The sequence below is a fragment of the Homo sapiens genome, chromosome 10, assembly GCF_000001405.40.
Source record: "Homo sapiens chromosome 10, GRCh38.p14 Primary Assembly".
Classification (NCBI taxonomy): Eukaryota; Metazoa; Chordata; class Mammalia; order Primates; family Hominidae; genus Homo; species Homo sapiens.
In genome coordinates, this window is record NC_000010.11 from 117,943,979 (window position 1) to 117,967,650 (window position 23,672).

General features: G+C 39.7%; 1 annotated feature.

Annotated features, from left to right (window-relative positions):
* Nucleotides 22,310-23,672: an enhancer, noted in NCBI's record as "VISTA enhancer hs1551". NCBI's record gives its function as "enhancer in: heart[3/7]" and the evidence as "EXISTENCE:transgenic organism evidence [ECO:0001131][PMID:17130149]".

The window sequence follows — 23,672 nt, forward strand, 5'->3', positions numbered from 1 at the left end:
TGCCATTCACTAGATATGTGACACAAAACAAGTCACTCTTCCCATGTAGGCTAATTTCAAAGTTTATAGATTTGAAAATCTGGATGGGTTGATCTCATTCCTTCTTGGAATAGTGTCTATGTCTTTGGCTGTTTTCCAAGGCCCCTTGAGCCACCTCCCCAAACTCTCCATAAAGTTAAAAATACACACACTGGCTCACAATCTCATTCCTGAAAGACTATACCTAAAATGAGAGCTCTGTGCGTATAAGATTGTACGCACACATATACACGTGGAAACAAGGTGAGTGAGTGTTGATCAATGGCAGAATGGATGAACTCATGGTAGAAGCACAAAATACTACACAATCACTAAAAAGAGTGAGTTAGAACTATTACAAGCTGATTTGGAGGGATTGCTTGCTGGTGCATGTTATTAATAAGGGAAAAGAAAACCTATACACTCACACACAGAGAAATGTGAAAACTGTGACCGTATTTTACCAAAAGAGTGAGCTTTGCAAGCCGTGCCTCACAGGTTTGCATAAACCACAGAAACATCCAGAAAGATGTGGAAGGATGCACACTGGATTCTTAGCACTGATGACCTGGGTGCAGGGGTGGATGAGGGTTGGGGACAGAGAGAGAAATAACCCAAAAATAAAAGATTTTTTTAATGACTGATTAAAAAAAGAAAAGCATATAATATCCATTAACATAAAATTATATTTCTGGGCATGTTTATCTTCACTAAGACATGAATGAAAGATTGGCATCAAGTAGGAATAGTGTTATCTCAGGCGAGAGGGAGTGAAGGCAATTTTCACTTTCTACCCTCATCCTTTACTGAACCATTTGCCTTGATTTCAATGAGTGTGCATGGTCTGATCAGAGGAGCAATCATGGCTGAAGCATAGGAGGCACTACTTCTGTGGTCTAGGCACTTTCTGTATAGTGACTCATTTGGGCCTTGCAAGTAATATTTTATGACATCAGTAGTATTTTGGTGGGATTATATTTTTTACTGATGTATAATATATGTACATATTTTGGGGGTTCTGTGATATTTTGATACATTCAAATAATGTGTAAAGATCAAATTAGGATAATAGGGATAGCCATCATCTTAAAAATTTGTCGTTTCTTTATACTAGGAACATATGAATTATTCTCTTCTAGCTGTTTTGTAATGTACAATAGATTATTGTTAACTGTGGTCACTCTACTGATCTGTCAAACACTAGGTCTTATTTCTTCTAACTGACTATACCTTTGTACCCAAAATCAGCACTATTATTATGCCCAGTTTTAAAATGAGGAACTGGGACACAGAATGGGCCATAACTTGCCCAAGTCATACAGTTTGTGTGTGGTAATGCCAGTCTTTTTTTTTAACTTCTTCCCTCCCTCCCTCCCTCCCTTTCTTTCTTTCTTTCTTTCTTTCTCTTTCTTTCTTTCTTTTTCTTTCTTTCTTTCTTTCTTTCTCTTTCCTTCCTTCCTTCCTTCCTTCTTTCTTTCTTTCTTTCTTTCTTTCTTTCTTTCTTTCTTTCTTTCTTTCTCTCTTTCTTTCTTTCATCTCTCTTTCTCTCTTCCTTTCTTTTTTTGACTGTGTCTCACTCTCTTACCCAGGCTACAGTGCAGTGGTGCAGTCTTGGCTCACTCTAACCTCCACCTTCCAGGCTCAAGCAATCCTCCCATCTCAGACTCCCAAGTAGCTGGAACAACAGGCATGCACTGCCACGCCCAGCTAATTTTTGCTTTTTTTTTTTTTTTTTTTTTTCAGAGAGGAGGTTCATGATGTTGCCCAGGCTGGTCTTGAACTCCTGGGCTCAAGTGATCCACCCTCCTTGGCTTCCCAAATTCTTGGGATTAAAGGTGTGAGCCGCCACACCCAGCAGGTAATAGTCTGGGTTCAGAGTCCAGTGTGGACTTAACCACAAAGAAAAACTGCCTCAGTAATTAGAAAATGACACAAATGCCGTCTTCACACTGGGAAAGTGAATGCCCTCCCTTGTCAGGGCTTCCCCTGGCCTTGTGTCTTTCACCACCTGCCACTGCGGCCCACCTGCAGGACCCCTCCTTTGAACCGCTGAAGGGCAGCTTCCCAACTTCATCTTCCCATCCCACCCCTGGGCACGAGCTGGCTCCCAATGAAAGTGTACTGAAGTAGGATTGCTAATCTTTACCCTCTCTTTCCAACAAAACCATGAAACTGAGGAAAGAATTTGAAACACAGTACTTCTTGGTTTATGAGCTCATGTGCATACAGAGTAAAAAAAATAATTTCTAATATAAACATCATTAAAGTTATTACTGGGTTTTAAATTGCATTGTATTACTGGGTTTTAAATTGCATCTAATGACTAGAGAAAGCTATTAAGCCTTTATATAGAATGGAAGTTGTTATTTTTTAAAGGCACCTTCTATTTAATATACATCCCAAATTAGACCTGCCAGAGAAACTGACTGTTTTACAGTTATCATTTGTGCTGACTTCAAAGGAAAGCCAACTTAACTGCAGTTCCTGCTGGTGCAGGGGCCACGTTTCATACTGCAAACTTTTAGTTGTTCTCTTGAAAGTCATAATTAACATTAAAACCAGCCTAAAATTATCACAATTTATATGGTGGTGAATTCACAGGAAAACCCATGAGTAGCTTTACCACAAACAGGAGGTAGAACCGTATTTTGTATTAGTCATTGAATAATATGCCCATTGGAAAGACGCGTGGGACAAACTGGAATTTATTGTGTGCTCATTATTTCATGAGTCGCAGCAAACCCAACAGTCAGGTCAACCTGCAGGTCGAACTGCTTGGGAAGTTCTTTTAATATTGTGTCAGGACCTTCAGCAGTGGCTGCTTCCTACTGCTCATTCTAATTAAAGGCATTAGCCAAAGCCTTTTTCCCCTTGATCAGCAATGGTTAAGAAACCGCAATTGTGGTTTCTGGTTCACTTTTGTGTGTTTTCTCTGAAGTCTGAAGCACTCCTTGCATCTCCTGCTATTTTTATATTTTGATTTAAGTAGGCGTTAGTTCCAGATCATGTCTTTTCTATACCTTTCCATTCTTTCAGTCCCAGGGCCTAAAATCCTTGTTATTTCCACGTCTCTTCCTACTCTATTGCTCCATATCATCCTTTCTTCATCACTTTCTCCTCCGTTCTGTTCTCATGGCCACACCCAAAGCCAGGCTCCTCTTCCCTCATTCCCAGATTACTGAGGCATCCTTGCAGTTCCTCTCACTGCTGTCCCTACTGCTCGGTTCATTTTCCGGAGACAAGCTCATCTCTCCTCCTGTTCAAGATTCTGCAGTGACTCTGTTGATCACTTCACCAAGTCACACTTCCCTGTCCCCTTTAAGTCCCTGCATTCCCTGGCCTCCAACTGCCCAGCCAACCTTGCCAGCCTCTTCCTCCCTTTCTCTAGTCATCTCTGCTCCTCCTATTCCACGACCCCACTATTTCCATTCTGACCCCAAGGCCTTGAATTATTTAGTCTCCATTTACTTAGAACACTCTCCTGCTTGCCCTTTGCTTTTCCAACTCCCAGCCAACATGTTCTAGTAGAAGGAATCCTAAAGGAACTAGAAAACTCCCACCCAAGTTCCAGAACCACTACTTTACCAGTCATCTATTCCTATATGACAAATTACTCCAAAACCTAGTGGCTTAAAACAAGTCATTTTATTAAGTGTCATTATTTTGTGGATCAAGATTTGGGGTAAGGCTCAGCTAGGAAATTCTTCCACTTACCTGGGATTGACTAAGGTTAGCTGGTATATTAAGTGGGAGACTGGTCTGGTCTGTGTGTCCAAAACAACTTCAACTCACATACCTGGTGCCGTGGAGGAAATGGCTGCAAGGGTGGACTCAGCTAGAATTGTCAATGAAAGGTCTACATGTAGCCTCTTCAGCCTGGTGAAATCCCATCACATTCACAAGTCCTGCCCACATGCAAGTGGAGGGAATTATGCAGGGCACGGACATCAAGGGGCAGGAATCTTGGGGCATCTTAGAATTCTGCCTACCACGGTCATCCAGTAAGATGTGGCATTGCTATGATGGGAAGCCTGATACTCTTACCACCAAGGTCTGAGTCCATAAACAACCTGGAATACCTACAAAATGAAGGAATAATTATGAAAGCACACTGCAGCCTTCTAAGAGGCTAAGAGAATGGGGGTTGGTATTACTATTTCTCATTCATCAGGGTTCAGCTTGAATCCTCTGCCCCTGTAATCTGTGCCATAAAGACCCTACTGACCTCTGGAGTTTAGCTCACCCAATCTCCACCTTCTTTGAGTTTCATTTCCCTTGGTTAATTACCTTCACACCATGTAGTTTACTTTTTCTTCTGTTGGTTTTGTCTCCTCATATGCCTGCACAGTAGGCTGAATAATGGTCCCCAAAGATATCATGTCCTAATTTCCAGGACCTGGAAATGTTACCTTATTAGAAAAAGTAGTCTCTGCAAATATGATCAAGTTAAGAGTCTTGAGATGGGGAAAGTATCCTGGATTATCGAAGTGGGCCCTAATTGTAATCATAGTGCCCTTATAAGAGAAGTAGAGAAAGATTCGACACACAAAAAAGAGGAAAGTGATGTGAAGATGGAACAGGGAGAGATTTGAAGATGCTGCCTTGAGGACTGGCATGATACAACCAGGAGCCAAGGATTGCTGCCAGCCAGCAGAAGCTGGGAGAGGTAAGGAACTGATTTTTCCCTAGAGGCTCTGTGGGGAAGCACAGCGCTGCTGACACCTTGATTTCAGCCCAGTGATAGTGACTCTGGGCTTCTGACTTCCAGAATTCTGAGAGAGTAAATTTCTGTTGTTTCAAGCCACCAAGTCTGTGGTGATTTGTTACAGCAGCTACAGGAAATGGAGATAGGCTGTAAGAGCCTTGAGAGAAGTCCTGGAATATTGTATCGTCATTGAAAATATTCAACAAGACTTTGTAACTGCAAGAAAAAAAAAGTGATATGCTACAATGTTCTCTAAAAACCAGGGTTAAAAATAAAAGTTGTGGGTATTATGATCACAGCTACATAAAAATACAGAGAAAATAAACTAGAAAGAAGAGAGGTATTACGAGAGCAGATTGTGTTTTCTCTTTCTATATCTCTTTTTCAAAAATTCATTGAACCATATTACTTTTATAGTGAGAAGTTTTCAATTTTTTTTAAGAGAAAGTACAGTTGTTCCTCAGTATCCATGGGTGATTGGCTCCAGAACCTCTGCAGATACCAAAATCTAAGGATGTTCAAGTCCCTTATATAAAATGGCATTGTATTGGCATAGAATCCACGTGCTCCTCTCCTATACTTTAAATCATCTCTAGATTACTTAGAATACATAATAAAATGTAAATACTACGTAAACAGCTGCTAAACTGCATTGTTGAGAGAATAATGACAAGAAAAATAGTCTGTACATGTTGAGTCCAGATGCAATTTTTTTCAAAAATTTTTGATATGCAGTTGGTTGAATCATGGATGTGGAACCCATGGATATGAGAGCTGACTGTACCTTTGGTAGTTTTGTTAAGTGCTTCCCACTTCCTAGTGACTGTGTTGGGTAAAATCAAAGATCCTGGAGGCCTGGACTTTTAACTATGCATGGCTAGTTAGACTGTGTCTGCCTTGTTCACTGCTGTTCCTTCTGTGCCTGGGACAGTGTATTCTAGGGCCTCAGTCCATGCATCTGGTGGATTGACAATGGGCAGTTGGACAAGTGGTCAGGGCTCAGAGTGCAGTTCCATCTTGCTGTGAACAACCAAGCTGAGCAGAAGAATGCCATGTACAGAACTGGCTTGTATACAGAAGGCATACAACGTTGGCCGGATTAAATTAAATGGCAGGTGCTATGGACTACTTTTGTCCCCCACCCAAAATTTATATGTTGAAACCAAAACCACCACTGTGATAGTATTAGGAGATGCAGGCTTTGAGAGGTGATTAGGTCATGAGGGTAGAACCCCATGAATGGGATTAATTCTCTTATAAAAGGGACCCCAGAGAGCTCTCTTACCCTCTTTCGGCCATGTTGCACTCTGCAGCCAGGATGAGGGCTTTCACCAGAACCTGACCATGCAGGCACCCCAATCTCAGACTCCCTGCCTCTAGCGCTGTGCAAAATAAGTTTCTGTCATTTGTAAGCCATCCAGTGTGTGGCACTTTGTTATAGAAGCCTGAACAGACTAAAACAGCAGGAAATTATCCTGGGCAGGTAGCAGGAATGGGTGTGAACTTGCTGCTGAGAGACAGTTGAGACACTGGCATAGAACTAATGCATATTGTCACCTATATTTTAAATCATCTCCAAATTACTTATCACCTAGATTAGAAAAGGCAAGGAAAATAACTCTGCAGGGGTTGGGTTGTGGGGGACAAAGGGGATCCTTCCCCGACACCTAAAATACATCCCAGCACTGGAGGAAAGTGCGCATGTGAAAATATAAACGTACTTCCTTCTCCTTCCTTCAGCTGTCTTTGAAAATCAAAGATTAGGTGCCCAGGGAGTGACTGGGGAGTAACTAAAGGACTGGATTAATGAAAGAATAAATGGCCAGCACTCTGAGAGGAGCTTCATAAAACACACGAGGGTGATGGGCATGTCTCCCATTACATCCTCAACATTTACCACAATGCCTGGTACTTGGAAGACACTCTGCAAATATTTATTGAATAAATGAACCAAAGCCCAGGAAGTCCTTTGAGCCGTGATAGGGAGGAATTTACTCCTCAGTCCACTTCCCTGTGAGCCAGGAGAGCAGATGGCAGCTCATCTTGGGGGATCCAGAGGTACAAAGAAAGTCAGGGTGGGGAGGTACTGAAGGTAGCAGTGGAAGGCTGGCTCCCAAGCTCCTCCCCAGCCTTCATTTCCTCAGGGCTGGGAGAGGAAAATGCTCACCTGAGAGCTTCTGAACCCAGGGCTCCCAGCACCCAGTGATTTGAGGAAACCATTGAATCTTTCAGCTTCTTGGTTTCCTCACTTGAGGAATGAAATGGGGGAATTAATAGTGACCTCCATTCCCAGCTATTATGGGGCTTAACTAAACAAGACTTGCAAAGTGCTTCAAACACTCAATTTCCAGTTCTGAGAAGGTGGGCTGATGTAGAGGGACAGGCTTACTGTGTGTGGTTGGTGGGGTCCACAGGGGTCCTTGCCAACGAGGAAAGCTCCCAACAGTACCTCAATTGCATGGCAGAGATGAGCAAGGGCCAGGCAGAGGACATCACAGACTGAAGCAAGGGAAGGATGGTGCAGTTGGGATGTACAGAGGGAGGCAAGGACCTTGTTTGGAGTGGTCCCCAAACAATCCTGACAATGGAGGAGAGGGAGGCAGGATGGCCGGTCCAAGTTCTGGCTTTGTCTCTAACTCAGTCAGTAACCTTGACCCTCAGCTTTCTATATGGGGGAAACAGAGGGGTTGAATTAGGTAAGACCAGGGGCCCTTTCAGAGGTGCCCATTTACGCCATTGATGTCTTCCAAAAGTAAAGGGGGACAGTTTGAACCACAGCACATCCTAAACTGATAATCTCATCTTTGATTGACTTCTCTGAGTTTTCCAGAACTTGGATTTGGAAATATGAATAATTTCAGAAGCCAATAGTTGTTTGAAACAAAGACTTGAAACTAACTACATAATTCACTTCAAATTCGTTATGCTTTTTTAAAAACAGAACTAAAACCCAAGAGAATGGGAACAAATAACTTTAACTCCCACTTTTTGAATCATGAGCTTGAAAGGCACCTGGATGATGAAACTGTGGACGCTTTCACAGTCCCCTTTGGGTAATGCTGTGCAGCGGGCAGGACATAGCTTTGAAGCTGTGTGCATGGCCGGAGGAGCTCACCCTGAACAGGCCAGCAAACTTCCTGCCCTGCCTTTCTTCACCTCTGAAAACTTGGACTACCAAGTGGATTAGGGCTAATATAGGTAAAGTGACTAGCCCTGTAGTCATGGTAAATACTCAATCCAATAATATATTATTTTAGTATTGTTATTAATATTAAAACAGTAGAAGCATGTGATTGTCACAATATTACAAATATAAGTAGTAGAAATTTCTTTTTTTTGAAACGGAGTCTCGCTCTGTCACCCAGGCTAGAGTGCAGTGGCACGATCTCGGCTCACTGCAACCTCTGCCTCCTGGGTTCAAACAATTCTCCTGCCTCAGCCTCCCAAGTGGCTGGGACTACAGGCACACGCTGCACGCCTGGCTAATTTTTTGTATTTTAGTAGAGAAGGTGGTTTCACCACGTTGCCCAGGCTGGTCGCGAACTCCTGAGCTCAGGCAATCTGCCTGCCTCGGCCTCCCAAAGTGCTGGGATTACAGGCATGAGCCACTGCATCCAGCCAGAAATTTCTATTGTAAATAGTTCTAAAAAAAACAAACAACAAAAACAAAAAAACAAACGAAAACAAAAACAAGGTCTCATTCTTTCACCCAAGCTGGAGTGCAGTGGTGCAATCACAGCTCAATGCAGCCTCCAACTCCAGGATTTAAGCAATCCTCCTGCTTCAGCCTCACAGGTAGCTGGGACTACAGGTGTGTGTCACCATGCCCAGCTAAAATTCTTTTAGAGACACGGTCTTACTATATTGCCCAGGCTGATTTCGAACTCTTGACCTCAAGTGATCCTCTTACCTAGGCTTCCCAAAGTGGTGGGATTTCAGGCGTGAGCCACCACGCCAGGATTATTGTAGATAACTTCTAATTCCCAACTCCTTTAGCTACCAAAAAGACAAAGGCATTAAATCAAAACAAAATCAAAACAAAAAATTTAAAAACCAGATTCAGTCCTGGATATCCATTCAAGGTTCTGAGCACCCAAAGAGTACACATTCAAAAAATCATCTTCCCCCCAGTTTCAGCAGAATTTGGCTCAACATATTGTAGCATCTTCAGAAAACTCACAGCAGCATGGAAAAGGGTATGGGCTGGCCAGTGCCTGTCACTTCCAGAATGCCAAAATCTGTAATACCATATCAGGATGTGCAAAAGAGGCTACATGCTTTTAGTTGTTATGAATGCATGCACACGTGTGTGTGGGTATGCATGTGTGTTTCTTTCAACCTCAGTTAACACACTATCAACAGAGCTGAATATCTGTTCATGTTACCTGGAGGTCACTTCTTCCTGCCAAGAAACTCAGAGTGGGTCATGAGGGGAAGGGCAATAAGAGTGCTCCTGATGGCAGGGAGAAACCGGAGCAGATACACAGCCCCACTCAGCTTCAGATTAGTCTAAATTAAGTAGTGTGGCCTATGGAGGGGTCTCAGCTTGGAGGGCAACCTGATAGTGAAGCTAGAATCTCAGTCTATCGATGTACTAAATTGATGGCAATGAAAAGAATTCTTCCCAGACACAAAAGTACACTTGTTTCCAGATTAATGTATCCTCAATGTAAGCTTTTCAGCCCCTGCTCTGAAGGAGTTAACGCGTGCTTGCTTCAGGGCAGAGGCACAGCCACGGTTGTATTATTTTTTGAAGTATTTGCTTGCAGAGGTGACCTGACCACTTGCTCATGAATACACTGAAGCACTATTCTTTCCTAACATCTCATGATGCCAATTCACAAGGACACTAAAGAGTTTGTTTAAAGTGGTGGCGACAGAGGGACAACCCAGAATGCCTGCTGGAGGGACATTACAAGTTTCCCTCTGGCAGAATCGAAAGTCATCTTTAGACACCTGCCCCCACTGCTTTCCCCGCCATTTCCTCCTTCCACTTGCTATGGAGCATCTCAATTACTTGCTGTTAAGCATCTTGGCCTTATCTTTGTGTAACCAATGCCTGTTTTTCTACTCAAAAATGACTAACAGGAATTCAGGGTATTGTGTTGAATTTTAATGGGTTATTTTGTTTCTCATATGCTGATTTTCTAAAGGCCTCACAGTGGCTTCCTCTCTCCTCCTTCCTTAAAAAGAAGATTGAGAATCCTCATCTCTGATGATGTTGAGAGTCAGCATCTTTCTAACAGCTAGAAAGGGTCAGTGGTATAAGACTGTGGAGGAAAAAAATCGTAGGGGAACCATTTATTTTATATTTCTTGAGATTAAGATATGGAGTTTGCTTAAAGTTACAAAGCAAGCAAAGTTAGAGTGTGCAGGTGCCTAGCCTCTGATGTGTACCTCTCATCACATGGTAGGCACTGTTAGATTGGCTTCTCAAGTACTAAGGTTATTTATTATGTACTTTTTACTAAAGCCATCTCTAAGCTTTTGAACCTGGTAGAGTACAGATGTAGCTTATGGAAACACATGAGCAAAGGGCTAGGACTTCCTCTTCTCTTCTCTTCTCTTCTCTTCTCTTCTCTTCTCTTCTCTTCTCTTCTCTTCTCTTCTCTTCTCGTCTCGTCTCGTCTCCTCTCCTCCCCTCCCCTCCCCTCCCCTCTCCTCCTCTCCTCTCCCCTCTCCTCCTCTCCTCTCTCCCCTCCCCTCCCCTCCTGTCCTCTCCTCTTCTTCTCTCCTCTCCTCTTCTCCTCTCCTCTCCTCTTCTCCTCTCCTCTCCTCTTCTCCTCTCCTCTCTTCTCCTCTGTTCTTTCCTTTCTGATTCTTTCTTTCTTTCTCCTCTCTTTCTCCCTTCCTTCTTTCCTGCCTTCCTTTTTCTCTTTATTCCACCCTTCCTCCTTTCCTTCCTTCCTTCTATTCTTTCTTTTCTCTTTTTCTCTTGAGAAAGTAAATTCAGAATTTTGTCTTTAGATTTCAGTCCTTTCCTAGATTTTATGTCATGAGAAAGATTCTGTATTCCATGGCCTTGGCTTAGGCTGAATTCATTGCAAATCATGTAGAAGTTCCCATGGACAACCACCCCCTTTGCCAAGGGCACCAGAAGAGGTTGTGCTCTGTACACCATGCAGGTAGCACACCTTTCCTCTACACAGAATATAGACTCATTCCAAGTATAGACTGCTTTAATTCTTAAAGAAGCCCTGTTGTCCTGGTTTTGACAGTAAGGGGCAGTAGAATTAACTCACCCATATGCTTTGAAGTTTTATATAGTTGGGATATGCTGTACAATAATGGTTTTAGGTGGTGAGCCAATCACTTTTTGTATTCATTGCAAGCCATACAGTTGTTTCTTGTTTTTGGTTTGGGTTTTTTGCTACGTAAGCCATATTGTCATTTAATGCGTGCACACCTTTTTTGTTGCTCAACATCTTGCTTGGATAATGGATATTTCACACAAATATAAGTCTGTTTTGAAAAATACAGCTTTTATTTATTCAACAAATAATTATTAGGAATATTCAATTCCCAGGCCCTATTTATATTTCTTCCTCTATCCCATGAAGTTGTATTGAGTTAGTTCCCATCACAGAAGTAACAACAGGGTTGCTTAGTCTGGGCTACAGTAGTTGCCAGCATCCTTTCTCTGCCCCGATCCAAAAACCATTTCACATACCAGGCCAGCTACATGTTCCCAAGTCATGAGTCAGATCAAATACATGTTCTGGTCAAAAACATTCAACAGATTCCATCTATTCTTAGGATTCCTGGATTTCACAGCCTTTGTAATATGGTCCCAAGTCACCTTTCTATCATCTCCCACCTCTTCCACCCTGAAATGGAACCCTTTGTCTTGCTTCAAACACACCTTGTACTTTCTATCTGCAGGTTTCTGCTTACCTTGTCCTTTCCACCAGAAGTCTCCTCTCCACTCCTAGCTTCTGCCTGCTGAAATCCTCCCCCTCATTCTTCAAATCCCACTGGTCCCTGGAGAATTTCTAATTCTCCTCCTTCCCTACTTTGCTGATATAATTCTTCCTTGATCCTTCCCTTACGATAGCCATTTATCCATTAAAGATGCCACCCTTACTAAATTATACAAAATTGTGCAAAAGGCAAAGTCGATGTCATCTTTGCAGCCCAACAATACTTTGCATTTGGTAGGCACTCTCTATTTGTTGGCATTGAACTAAAGGAACTGTTAGTGCCGTCTTTGATCCCAGATGCTACACTCATAGATATTAACATAGAAAAGAACCCTAACCTAGTTTAATGGTAGATGCTCAAATTGAATCACAATCACCCGGGATTTTTTTTTTTTTTTCAAAAGGCACCATCCCAAGTCTTCACTCTAGCCATCTAAAGTAGAACTTTATTTTTAAAATGAAGGTAGGTGGAGAATAAAGAGAAAACGGTCATAGAGCTAACCAGTGACTGTGCCCAGATCATCATCTGTGTGATATAACAGAAAGAACGTGGGCTTTGATATCAGATAGACCTAGATTCAAATCCAAAGTTATTCAACCTCTCTAAACCTTGGCTCCTTGACTTATAAATTTCAGATGCCACCTAGCTTAAGAGTTGTTATATGAAATAAGTGAGAGGATGCACAGAAATCACCTAGCATGTTACATGGCACACAGTAGGAACTCTAATACATGCCAGTTCTTTCTCCCTCCCTCATGAGTCCATACCCAGGATCTGACCACAATACCAGGCTGTAATACTTAACTGAATAAAGTCAATGTTCATTCATTCACCAAAATGAATTGGGAGCTTCTACAGCCCAAGCGCTGTACTAAACCTCAGTACATCCCACTTACCCTCAAACATTCCCCCAATGCATCTAAAGTTATTATATTTAAAAAAGCTATATCACTCTTTGGAAACTAATATCAGACTCAATATCTATTATACCATAAACTCCTTCACAAAGGGTCAGAATACCATCAGTTATTTCTACTGGTTGTCCTTCCTCTTGTTAATATATTTTAACTCCTCATGACATGAACAAGTAGCCTTTAACATAGAAATAAGAACGTGATGTAATTTCTAATATCCTAGGGAATAGGAATTTGTTTTTATTGATTCCCACTTAGCTTTTCACAAGCATCCCTCTTCTTTTCTTAGTCTGTATTTAATAAAAGGTTTATAGGTTTCTGTTTTTCTTAGTTGGGAGACCAGAATAAAACTAAAATTGCCATTTCCAGTAACTCAATATGGCGTGTGTGAATAGGCTGCACACATATGTCATTGTAATGTGTTTTATAATCAATGTCTATTTTCTTTCATTGCTCTACCTTCCTATTCAAAATTTAATCTATTTCCTTAGAATCTTGTTTTCATGAATATATTAATTTCAAGAATGTGTGTTTTTGCACTATGGTTGTAAGTAACTTGTAAAATCAATAAAATGGTTTCTGTTGACTGAACTAGCTATTGAGAACTGAGAATGGCTTCATATATAAGTTGTCAGATCCTGTCAGATGCTGTCACAATATAACTCTAAGTTAGACAAGTAAAAATTTCTTGCAAAGAAAAATTGGGGAAAAAATGTAGTTTAGGTTGAGCTATCACTGCACACACTGAGAAATAAATAAATGCACACGATTTGCTCTAATCCTTTGCTGCCTCTTTTCTTTAAAACACCAACTAGGCCAGGTGTCGTGGCTCATGGCTGTAATCACAGCACTTCGAGAGGCCTAGTCAGGGGGACTGCTTGAGGTCAGGAGTTTGAGACCGTATGGACAACAGAGTGAGACCCCATCTCTATAAAAAAGTTAAAAATTTCTAGGGTACGGTAGCACATTCCTTTAGTCTCAGTTATTCAGGAGGCTGATGTGGGAGGATCGTTGGAGCCTAGGAGGTTGATACTGCAGTGAGCTGTGATCACACCACTGCACTTCAGCCTGGGTGACAGAGTGAGATCCTGTTTCAGAAAAAACAACAAACAAAGGAAAAAAACACCCAAATAACACAGACAGCAATAATAATAATGTATATGTACAGCTCTGTATTTTTCAAATGCTTTTACCTTATTATTAACTCAATTGATTATTCCATCGTTCAAATATCTGAGCAGTTAACTGTGTTTCAGCCAATGTGCTACATGCTGAAGATTCAGTGGTGAAAAAAATGAAAAAGAAAATGGTCCTTGCCCCCATGGAGTCTAATAGGAGAGGAAACAACTAATAAAAATATCACATAAGCCCCATATAAGAATGACCAACTGATGTTTGACAAAGTTCAAAAGGAATTCAATGGAAGTGAATTCAACAAATGTTGCTGGAATAATTCAATGTTTATAGGCAAAAAATAACAAAAATAAAAAAATGAACCTCAGCCCAAACATTGTACTTGATACTAAAATTAACTCAAAATGGATTATAGATCTAAAGCTATAAAAGTTTTAGAAAAGAAATAGGAAAAAATCTTTGTGATCTAGGATTAGGTGAAATGTTCTTAGTCATGATATCAAAGGCATTATTCACAAAAAAAATAGATAAATTGTAACTAACACAAATTAAGAACTTTTGCTCTGAAAACCACTCTCTTATAAAGAAAAAAAGACAAACTTCAGACTAGAATGAAATATTTGCACATCACATATCTGACAAAGGGCTTATCCAAAATATATAAAGAACACTTTAAATTCAACAGTAAGAAAACAAACAACCCAATTAGAAAATGGGCAAGACTTGAACAGATACTTCACCAAAGAGGATATATAGGCACAAAAGAACATGAAAAGATGTTAAACATCATTAGGCATTAAGAATATGCAAATTATAATGAGATACCACCACACACCTATTAGAATTATTAAAATAAAAACACATGCTGGGTGCAGTGGCTCACACCTATAATCCAAGCACTTTTGGGAGGCCAAGCCAGGAGGATTGCTTGAGCCCAGGCATTTGAGACCAGCCTGGGCAACATGATGAGACCTTATCTCTACAAGAAATTTAAAAACTAGCCAGACGTGGTAGTGCATGCTTGTAGTCCCAGTTACTTGGAAGGCCGAGGTGGGAGGACTGTTGAGTCTGAGGGGTTGAGGTTGCAGTGAGCCAAGATCATGCCACTGCACTCCAGCCTGGACAATAGAATGAGACATAGTCTCAAAAATAAATAAATAATAAATAAATAAAAATTTTAAAAATAAAATTAAAAGCATGGATAAAACCAAGTGTTGATGAGGCTGTGGAGCAACGAGATTTCTTATCTATCACTGATGGGAATGAAAAATGGTATAGCCACACTGGAGAACAGTTTGGCAGTTTCTTATAAGCATACACTTACTATATAACCTAGCAAATGCACTCCTCAGTATGTATTCAAGAGAAATGAAAATGGCGTGTTCCCACAAAAACCTGTACATAAATGTTTATAGAAGTTCTATTTACTTATATAAGCCCCAAACCCCTACTGACTTCTATAGCCCCAAACGAGAAACAACCCAAATGCCCTTCAACAAGTAAACAGATAAGCAAATGGTGATACAAACATCCCAAGGGGTGCAACTCAGCAATAGGAGAGAACAAATGACTGCTGCATGCAAACAACTTGGTTGGCTCTCAAGGGAACCACGATGCATGTAGAAAGCCATTGCCAAAGGGTTAAACATTTTATGATTCCATTTATATAACATTCCTCAATTTACAAAATTAAAGTAATGAAGAACAGATCAGTAGTTGCCAGGGGTTAGGGCTGGGGAAAGGATGAAATTATTAAAAGGTAACATGAAGTCACTTCTCAATTGTGAAAGAAGAGTTTCGTATCCTGATTGTGGTGATAGTTACCAGAACCTAAAATTTGATGAAACTATACATACACAACATTCATGTAAAAAATGTGGAAATCCGGGTAAGGTTTTTACCTGAATCAATAGCACTGTGCCAATGTCAATTCCTAGTTTTGACCATGTACCATGGTTATGGACGATGTTACCATTGGAGGAAACTGGGAGTAGGGTATACGGGAATTCTCAGTACTCATGTTGTAACGTCGTGTGGTCTTAACTATTTCAAAATAAAAACTTATATTAGAAACAGCACATAAGTGCATATAAAATTACAATTCTGTTAAGTGCTACAGGGAGAGCTATATGATGCTATGGAAGCCTCTGATGCAGGGATTGACCTGGTGATGCAGGTCAGGGAAGGCTTGAAAATGAACTGAGATCTAAGGAAAGGATAGAGGTTAATGAGGTGAAAAGGGCAGGGAGGTTGAATCCAATTCTCTTGACTTAGGAAGAGTTCAATAAGGTAGAAAAATAGTTCTTTCCATGAACCTCCAAAGCTGAAACACACAACAGTGCAGATGAGCAGTGAAGGCTTCATCTATGGTGGGTAAAAAAGAAGGGTTCAGGGACCTAGGAAACCCGTCAGCTACTGGGCAAATTAGAAGGGTAGGGAGAAGGGAAGCAAGATAGCTAAGAGAGAGGGTGGGGTGAACCCCAACAAGTCAAGTCAGGAGCCCTCTAAAATCACTGCAGGGCTTATTGGTGTATGCTAACCTCTAAATCCCCAACCATGGTGAGGGAATTCCCCATCCACAGGTGTTTCGGTCTAAACTCACTTTACCTGACAGGTACAGGGGAGCTGTGGGGAGCAGCCTGTGAGCTGCTTCTGACTCAGTAGAGTGTTAGGGAAGAAAGAAGAGCAGAAGTCAGACACCTTCCCTCCTTCATATATATCCCTTCCCTTCTCACAGCCATTTCCCTGAGCCTAGCCTTCCACCAGGGAGCTTCAGGAGCTGAATGAGACCCACGCTTTGGTTCTCCCATCCAGCAAGTTACACCACCTCTTTGGGCAACAGTCTACCCCTCCATAAAGCAAATCTAGACCAAATGACCTCACAGCTGACTCAATCCTTGGGTTTGTTGATTCTGGCTTCTGGCTTTTTGATCTGCATTCAAATTGCTCTTTCATTTTTGTCTGCAGTCATCTGTATGAGTACCTAGAGAAAGACTGGGGGAAACAGTCATGACTACGTTACAAGCTTCTTTTTAAAGTCATCCATTTGTTGTGAGAGAGTTCAACGGTTATCTAGAAGCTAGGTACAAAGTACAGTCTGCATTTATGAATCCCTGGAAATAATCTTGTTAGGTCAAGTACAAAGAATTATTTTACTCGCTAAGTTCCAATGAAAAGGAGAAATTGGATATACCATTATATAGACTTCTAAACTAAGAGAGAATTTAAATTTTCTCTTAATAGTGATTTGACTCAGCTAATATTTATACATTTAATAAAAGTTTCAACATTTTAGTTAAAATGCTATTTTTACAGTAGTCTTCTGCTCAGAGAGATTTAAATTATATTCATTAGTAGTGTCATGTTCAATGACTGAAGCCATAACATCAGAGTGAACCCAATTGACGGGCAGAAATATATTTGCTTAACAAAAAAAGAGCAAAAGAGACAAAGGCAGACATGAATAGGAAGGGTTTTTTTTTTTTTTTTTTTTTTTTTTTTTTTTTTTGGAAGGCTGACAGTTCTTCCCTCCAAGCAAATTATTACTTATCTATCCACCCAGCCTGATAAAAATAATCACAAATATTTTGAATGCCTGCATTGAAAGATGGATTTAGAACGTTCAGTGCTCACAGTGGCAGAATGGTTATGTATGGTTTCATTTGGACTCACAGCCGACCAAAATATGGGTGTTTAAGCCTGTGGAGCAGGAGCAACTAATTGATCCCACTTAGGAGACAGACTGTGAATAATGGGCCATTATATTTTGATGGAACACACAATTGCCTTGAACTTCTCAGAAGTTCAGGTGTGGGGATCCAGCTACCTGGGGCAGTTGCTGGAATGTGATGGTCTGCGGGCTTCTGATCATGCATCTGCCTGCTGCACCCCTCGTAGGGCCCAGCTCCATTTCACGGGAATAACTCACCTATTCATGAACAATGAGGTTCAAACTGTACCTTTCCTTAACACAACATTAACTCTCAAAGAGCTGGAAATTCAGCACTCGGTTTCGTGAGCTTAGATTGCAAATCAGTCACTGAGAACATTATATGAGCAGTAATCCCATTAAATATATCATCTTGCAAATATCTAAATCCAGTTAATTAACTTGTATTGCAAAAGAGCTTGGAGATATAGTTTTCAGAGAGCAACCATACATTTTAGGGCCCTAATTATACTTAAAGTAAATTTCAGGCTCTAGTTTTTATAAAAAATAGGTGGAAAACCGCCTTCTAAGGAAAAAATGGATTGATGGAGGGCTACGTTTATGAGATTTAAACAGAAAAGATATTTAAACATTTCAAAAATTAACTGCTTTCTTGCATAAACTTTTTACTTGCATTGTAGGGCGGTTTTTTAATAAAAGGATTAAACAAAGTCTGCTATTTTAATTAAAATTCATAGCAATACAATGTCATCTTTGCAATGGTCGTAGAAATTAACTAGCTCATGAATTTAGCCATTTCAGAGTTCATAATAATTTGACTTCAGCATAATATCCAAACCCACATGATATGTAGATTTTAAAATAATCACAGCAAGGATTTAAAAATAAAAATAATAATTTCACCTAGTGAAAATCCCATTACTGAGTTAGACATACATGACAACATTGGCTTAATAATTTCTCAGTGATCAATAAGTGTCTGGGATGCATACATAGCTCTATGTAGCCATATGTGTGTATGTTGCATGAAATTTGCATAAATTGAGTGCTCTGCATAAACTTTGCAGAAAACTCTGTAGGTGTACGTTTATGTGTGTCTTTCTGTCTTCCGATACCACTCACTCACTTCATGCTTGTTTTGAACTAGCCTCATACCACCCACCAAAAAAGTGGATCATCAGTGGTATTTGTCAGTAAAATAAACCCTCCCAATATATGCTTTGCATTATGTTTCATGAAAAATCCACACCCTTTAAGTGCAAAATTCAAGACTGACTTATTTTAAAATAGTTTAAATTGTGGTTTCTCTAGACTATTATTCAATGCTGACATAAAAAAACTAGCAATAAAGTATATGAATACCTTCAATATAAATAGTGCTTTTCTTCTAGATAGTTCAAATTTTCATCCTATGTGTAAATCCATTCATATGTATGAAGAACACATACAATAAAATCTTTTAAAATCTCAATGCCAATTGAAGACTGTGGCAGATAAAGTTTTTAAAAGATGTCAACAGGACTGGATTTATTCATGCTAAAATCCATGACCCCATTTGGGGCATCATTTGGGGCATCATGGTCCACTGTTCTGAAGAATAAAGTTTCAAAAATATTCACAGATTCTTTCTAACAATATCATTCTCTCTATCCAAATGTCACCAACACTGAATATACCATTTTTATTAGGAAACTGTCTTATTGGATACTTATACCACAACTGTTTTGAGGAACTTATTGTAATCATTCACACACTAGAAAAATAAAGAATTTAGTTGATCACACAGCCTTTTTTAGGGACTCTGCAACTGTTATCGACAGAAACTGACAAGCATCTAACTCCAGAAAAAGGAAATAAATAAATGCAGTTTCTCGTTATATAGCACAGGCAGGTATTTCTGGTATGTTGGTAATTTCAGGAAAATGTGGACTTGCCTCAAGAAAACTTTTGGAGACGACCTCTTCACACCCATCTTCTAAGTGTTTGCTATTAACTGTCCAAGTGCTATTTAGCATTGTATGTGAATCATCTCATGTTTTCCTTCTAACAGCTCTGTGAGGCAAGATCTATTATTTACCCCATTTTACAGATGAAGAATTCTAGGCTTAAAAACCTGTAATCTACTCAAAGCCTAAGACCTAGCAAGTTATGAAGTGGAAGTTCCAATGGAAGCCCATCAAACTCCAAAACTCATACTTTGAACTGATAAGCTACACCCTCCATGAACAGAATGTCCTTTACCCTTAATTTTGTGGTACCCAATTTTGATTTTGTAAACTCACATTAGAATTAGGAATACAAGGATGTGGTTGTTTGGTCATTTGTTACCCAATGGTGTGGAGGTGGTTAGAATGATACATCCCATAGGAAACAGCGTGTCCATTGGCTGAGCTTGAGCAGAACTTTGAACATGTGAGCTTGGAAACGCCACTATAGCGAATGGTGGGTGCACCAGGAGCTCCTTACTGATAAGTTTCCCCATGGAGGCCCATATATTGCTTGTTTTGACATCTTTTATGTGCAATGTGGGAGGCACAGTGCAAAGCAAATTTAAAACTCTTAGGTTCATTTTCAGGGCTGAAGTTGTGTCTAGTGAAAGGGTTAAATGCCTCCCAGGCCTCCCTGCTTCCACTCTCTCCTGGATCATGTTGTCTAAAAGCAGGGCTCCCCGCACCACAGCAAACCGAAGAGGTACCCTAATGACAGTATAATTAGAAGTATCATTGTGGTAATGATTCTTTTCATCTGGAGCACAGGCTGCACAGAAAAGGGCTCTTCATTCAGCTAATTCCACCTGCCTATCTTTTTTGCCTCTCCCCAGCCTTTTCCCCTAGGTCAGTAGCGCAGGGTTAATACCAGGTGTTTGACAAGTCCTCAGACTTGGGGCTCATCAAACTAATTAAAGAGAAACACATCCAAATTCTAGTGAATTATTTTACTTTAAAAAATGCTTCCCATTCATCTGGCTTGGTGAGTTTGATTAATGAAGACGACAAAGGAGCTCTTGTTCCTGCAACCCACAACCACTTGGTTCGGGTTCAGTGGGCCCAGGGAGAGGCATCCGTGCCTTAATCTGGTCTTTCTTTCCTACTTAAAAATCCAAAGGGTAGAGAGGTTTCTGATTTTATCAGACCCACCAAGGCAGGAAAGGAAAGACAAAAAACATCTTGATGCACTAACTTAGCATAGCCAGAATTTATTTGTTTAACTTAAACAACCCTTAGAGGACTTCCCTTGTTTATTTGCCACACATAGGGTAATCTAAGACATTAGGAAAGCACTAGATTTGTCAGTATATTTTAATATCCCTAAAACTAATAAACTTCTGAAGCATGCCCTTCAGTGGTTTATTCACAGCACCTCTCACTCAGTGCTCGCTCAGACTTTCCTATGGTGTTGCCAACTCTCTGAGCACAGACTCATTGGTGATATACACAATGACCAAGAACATCCAGGGTCTAAACTTGGGAAAGAAAAATGAAGTTTTTGATTCTTTTTTTTTTTTTTTTTTTGAGATAGAGTTTTGCTCTTGTTGCCCAGGTGGGAGTGCAATGGCGTGATCTCGGCTCACCACAACCTCTGCCTCCCGGGTTCAAGCAATTCTCCTGCCTCAGCCTCCTGAGTAGCTGGGATTAGAGGCATGCACCACCACGCCAGGCTAATTTTGTATTTTTCGTAGAGACAGGGTTACTCCATGTTGGTCAGGCTGGTCTCTAACTCCCGACCTCAGGTGATCCGCCCACCTCAGCCAGTTTTTGATTCTTAATGGGAGTAATTTTTTTAATCAAAGGATTTTTAATTCCTATAGATAATTAGGAATCAAAAGTACATCTTGAATGGAGTTGTTTGCTGCATTAGCAAGATATGTCTGCATATTAACTAAGTAAAGCATTTGAAGATAGATTTGAGCATTTAGATTAATTTTAGATTAAAATGCATATGCTTCTGCCAGGTTAAAAACAAAATCCAACAGAAAACCATAGTAATAAATCTAATATATTAAATAAAGGATAGATATTTAATATGTTGCTTTTAATAACATTAACCAAATTCATCATGAGATTAGGGCTTTAAAACCCATAAGCCATACATACCCTCCCCAAGTCCCCAAACCCTAAAATGCCAAATTATCCAATCCAATATATACCCCTTTGGTACTGAGACATTAAATGACATTTTAGTATTATCTTTAAGATAATTATTCAGGCACTTGGACATCATTTTAAATTCCATCATACATTTGAACCTACAATTTAAAAGACAGACATTTTCTTTCAACAAGTTTCTCTTAAAATTTTGAGTTTATTTTCGTGAACTTAAATTTATGGTGATTAAAACTGTTTAATGAAAAACATCCTTTTTTGAAGCACACATCCAGTCTTGTCAATACTGTCTCACCAATTTTGACTAACAATAAAAATTATTTTATGTCTGAGAAATGAATTCATACTTGTGAAGTTCAATAATTTCCAAGTTTAAAGTTTACAGTTTCCAAGTTTTAAGTTTAAGCACTAAGTCCATAGGCAGATGAATCTCTTTTTTATCCAAAAAGAAGAAAAACTCAATAAATAGATGGTAGTAAAATGGGTTAACTTTGGGCAACATTTCTTATGAGGCTTGGGAAATGTTAATTCTGCAGGATATTAATAAGTATTATTAAAAAATAAAAAACAATTATACAAATTGTTTTGCTTTAACCCATTATTAGAAATATTTTCAAATATACAGAAGAGTTAAAAGGGTAAATAGCTTTAAAAAAACAATAAAACCTGGTAAACAAAGTTAAGCTGGTTTCTTCACAGCAGGACTTGTCAGGGCCTTTGATACACCAATGGACACGGGCAGTTTCTAAGAGGAGAACAGGAAATACATCGTGTTCTAAATTAATTTGTGGCATCCTGAACATTTAGTGTCCCCTCTAACCTCTAATGTACTTGAGAAATGCTGATTCACAGCAAACCCAGAGGTTCTGTGATTTTCATTTAAAACTCTATCCCAAAAAGCAAAGAGCTGGGTGCCAAACAAATTTATAAGAAGAAAGATGCTTTAAAAAATCGTGGTTTGAAAATTCATCAGCAATTTGAAAGATTCACAGTGTAAAGTTTACAAAAGAATTTGGAGGCAGGTTACCTTGCAGTTGATTCAAATATGCTACCTTGTTCTAAATTGCTAGCCTCTCCTTTCTCAAATGGACTCATGCTCTAAAATCCAGGCAAGGATTTGAAACTGGCAAGAAAATAATCCAGATGAATAAAGGTCTTGTTTCTCTTTAATCCTACCATTACCTTATAAAGACTTTTTCAAAAAAATTGAAATGTGGCAGTGAGTTTTTTTTTTTTCAATTTAATGTGAACACTGAAGGTAGAATTGTTGATGGTTAAGTTAGCTAGAAGTTTTAGCAAAAATTATTTTGAAATTCTCATTTAATTCTTGCTCAACGGTAAGAATCCAATCAATGCAAAATGTGAAGCCCAGTGTTGTTGAATTTCCCTGCTTCTTTTTTAATGTTAAGAATTGGATTTTGGAATGCATGGGTTTTCACATGTTAATGTTGAAATTGAATTCAGTTGTGAGCACGTTGTAAGATGCAATAGGAAAACTATTATCAAAAGGCAGTCGTTAACCTTTTTGAAAATTTTTAGTATTGTTTTGTTTCACTTCTTGCTATAATCCTAACAAGCACAAACGCATCTCCGTTAACCCGCCTCTTAAAGAAATTGCTAATATCTAAAAAAAAACAAAGCTGATCCTTCACTCTTATTTTCATACCAAAATAGTTCATTATATTTTTTTCCAGAATCTTCTTTTACCACCCTAGGGAACAAAATCCCAACTATGGATTCAAAATGACAGATTTTGTGGGTTTTACTTTTCAGAGATGATGTCACTTGTGGGGAATTGTTGGGTAAACCATACACTCTTTTCAGAAACCTGCAATTACCTCTCTGAATAAAGAGATCAATGTCATGTTTCTAGAAATAATGGCTAATGATATGTCTCTCAAAAGGAAGTGGCGTTATTAATTACCTCACTGTGAACACACAGTTTATAGACAGCTCAGAGGGCCACTCGCCCAATTAAGTATAATGACTAAAGCTACAGTTAGTCCATCTGTACAGCCTTCTAGATTAACAAGCCTGCAGCTTTACAAGAGTTGTTTAAGGCTGATATGCACAGAGAGGAGAGCCCAGAGGCAATACCTGGACTGCCTTGGAGCGTTGGTATTATTGCACAGCGGCGGGGAGCCCACACCCCTTATTTTTAATCACTCAGCTTTGTTTGGATGTGAGCTACGTTTGTATTGATCGCC